The sequence below is a fragment of the Homo sapiens genome, chromosome 1 (genome assembly GCF_000001405.40).
Source record: "Homo sapiens chromosome 1, GRCh38.p14 Primary Assembly".
NCBI lineage: Eukaryota > Metazoa > Chordata > Mammalia > Primates > Hominidae > Homo > Homo sapiens.
In genome coordinates, this window is record NC_000001.11 from 96,223,405 (window position 1) to 96,226,292 (window position 2,888).

Here is a 2,888-nt window from a genome sequence, read left to right on the forward strand (position 1 = left end):
GTCTCACTGACTTCAAGAATGAAGCCGTGGACCCTTGCGGTGAGTGTTACAGCTCTTAAGGTGGCGTGTCTGGAGTCTGTCCCTTCTGATGTTCAGATGTGTTCGGAGTTTCTTCCTTCTGGTGAGTTCGCTGCAGACCTTGGCGGTGAGTGTTACAGCTCTTAAGGCAGCAAGTCTGGAGTTGTTCGTTCCTCCTGGTGGGCTCGTGGTCTCGCTGGGCTCAGGAGTGAAGCTGCAGATCTTCGCAGTGAGTGCTACAGCTCATAAAAGCAGCGTGGACCCATAGAGTGAGCAGTAGCAAGATTTATTGCAAAGAACGAAAGAACAAAGCTTCCACTGTGTGGAAGGGGACCGGAGCAGGTTGCCAGTGCTGGCTAGGGCAGCCTGCTTTTATTCTCTTATCTGACCCCACCCACATCCTGCTGATTGGTAGAGCCGAGTGGCCTGTTTTGTCAGGGCACTGATTGGTGCGTTTACAATCCCTGAGGTAGATACAAAGGTTCTCCACGTCCCCATCAGATTAGTTAGATACAGAGTTTCCACACACAGGTTCTCCAAGGCCCCACCAGAGCAGCTAGATACAGAGTGTCGATTGGTGCATTCACAAACCTTGAGCTAAACACAGGGTGCTGATTGGTGTGTTTACAAACCTTGAGCTAGATACAGAGTGCCGATTGGTGTATTTACAATCCCTGAGCTAGACATAAAGGTTCTCCAAGGCCCCACCAGAGCAGCTACATACAGAGTGTAGATTGGTGCACTCACAAACCTTGAGCTAAACACAGGGTGCTGATTGGTGTATTTACAATCCCTGAGCTAGATATAAAGACTCTCCACATCCCCACCAGACTCAGGAGCCCAGCTGGCTTCACCTAGTGGATCCCACGCTGGGGCTGCAGGTGGAGGTGCCTGCCAGTCCCGTGCCATGCGCTCGCACTCCTCAGCCCTTGGGTAGTCGATGGGACTGGGCGCCGGGGAGCAGGGGGTGGTGCTCGTTGGGGAGGCTTGGGCAGCACAGGAGCCCATGGAGTGGGTGGGAGGCTCAGGCATGGCGGGCTGCAGGTCCCGAGCCCTGCCCCGCGGGAAGGCAGCTAAGGCTCGGTGAGAAATTGAGCGCAGCGCCGTTGGGCCGGCACTGCTGGGGGACCCAGTACACCCTCCGCAGCCACTGGCCCGGGTGCTAAGTCCCTCATTGCCTGGGGCCAGCAGGGCTGGCCGGCTGCTCTGAGTGCGGGGCCCGCCAAGCCCACGCCCAACCCGGAACTACAGCTGGTCCACAAGCGCCTCACACAGCCCTGGTTCCTGCTGGCGCCTCTCCCTCCACACCTCCCTGCAAGCTGAGGGAGCTGGCTCTGGCCTTGGCCAGCCCAGAAAGGGGCTCCCACAGTGCAGTGGTGGGCTGAAGGGCTCCTCAAGTGCCACCAAAGTGGGAGCCCAGGCAGAGGAGGCACCGAGAGCGAGGGAGGGCTGTGAGGACTGCCAGCACGCTGTCACCTCTCATAATCATGCAACAGAATATTGATACTATTATAGATATGCATCCAGGTTTATACACCAAAACATCTGTGTTTTCATCATAAACACAGGAAAGTACATGAGGCAAGAATGTAGCTAGAGGACAGCTCTGGGATACCACTATGAAAAAAATTGTTTTTAATCTTACCAACCCCATTACACAAATTAAATATATCTATCTTATCTGTTTATAGATTAAATTTTCTACAAAAACTGAAAAATTTTACTTTGACTTTTTACTACTTTTAATTATTGCTAAGATATATAATCTTGCTCTTTCTTTCATGCGTATTCTTTAAGTAAAGACCAGAAAAGGATATAATCTAAACCCTTTGACTTCTTGTAATAGGAGGGTTGCACTCGAAACTTCTTATTTGTTCCGTAGTTCAGCTGGTCACAGTCTGTCACAGATGCCTACTGATGGGACTTCCACCATGGTTAAGAACCACAGGAGGCAGACCAGGACCATGTCCACAAATGTAAAAAAAGCTAACGTCACTCCACAGCTAACATTGCTCCATTCTGAAACTACACCTACTCATCAGAAAAGGCATTTCTTAAGATATATACCCAAGTAGGGGGTGACTTGGAGAGGGGACAACAGCAACAACATTTTTGAAGTTGGAAAACAAATGAACAATTGGTAAAGGAGTTTGCAGACCTGAAGAAGAATGGAATCATAAACTAGCAACAGAGAAAGCTAAAATCCAACATGTTTTGTGTTGCAGAATCCTCCAAAAGCCTCAATCTCTGTAGAAACAAGGAAGAGGCGAAGGAGACTCTGAGGAAGAGGATTGATTTTAAAAAGTCTAGTAGTCGGAGCCCCTTCCCAACCTCACACAGCTGGGCATCTGCTCCTCTGTCAGTACAATGAAAGAATAAAGTCATATTCCCTGGAGTTAATAAAGCAGAGGGTCTCCGTACAGGGAGTGAGTGTTAAGGTCAGGGGTTCTATACACTGAACTTAGAAAGCGTACGTGCGTATTTACCTGGCAGGGGAGACACCCTTATCACAAAGGTGGTTTTCCCAGGGTGAGGCTTAAATGCTGCATTTCAGATATGTTGACCCTATGATTTAACCACATTTGGGAAATTCGTCTGCATAATTTGTGGTAGTGGGAGACTGCGTTTGCTTCTCCCCTGGTTAAAAAAAAAAGAAAAAAGAAAGCCTATGTGAATGTCTGCATATGATCCTTGAAATCGGGGATCCAATTACTTTTGTGATTCCCAGAACACAGGCAATCAGGCTTTCAGCCTAAGTAGAGGACTGGGGAATGGATTGCCCCCAAAGAGACAAAGAATACAACATTTGAGGTTCTTTAAATAAATGGCTTTGCCAGATCTCCTGCAGTAAATACTTCAGTCAGCTAATC

At 48.9% G+C, this 2,888-nt stretch overlaps 1 pseudogene, besides 1 other annotated feature; it reads left to right on the forward strand.

Moving 5' to 3' along the window:
- Positions 650-1,150: an enhancer, noted in NCBI's record as "H3K4me1 hESC enhancer chr1:96689610-96690110 (GRCh37/hg19 assembly coordinates)". NCBI's record gives its function as "activates a minimal SCP1, AML or CMV promoter by ChIP-STARR-seq in naive H9 embryonic stem cells {active_cell/tissue: H9 hESC(naive)}" and the evidence as "EXISTENCE:reporter gene assay evidence [ECO:0000049][PMID:30033119]".
- On the forward strand, positions 2,497-2,656 carry RNU1-130P (RNA, U1 small nuclear 130, pseudogene; annotated as a pseudogene).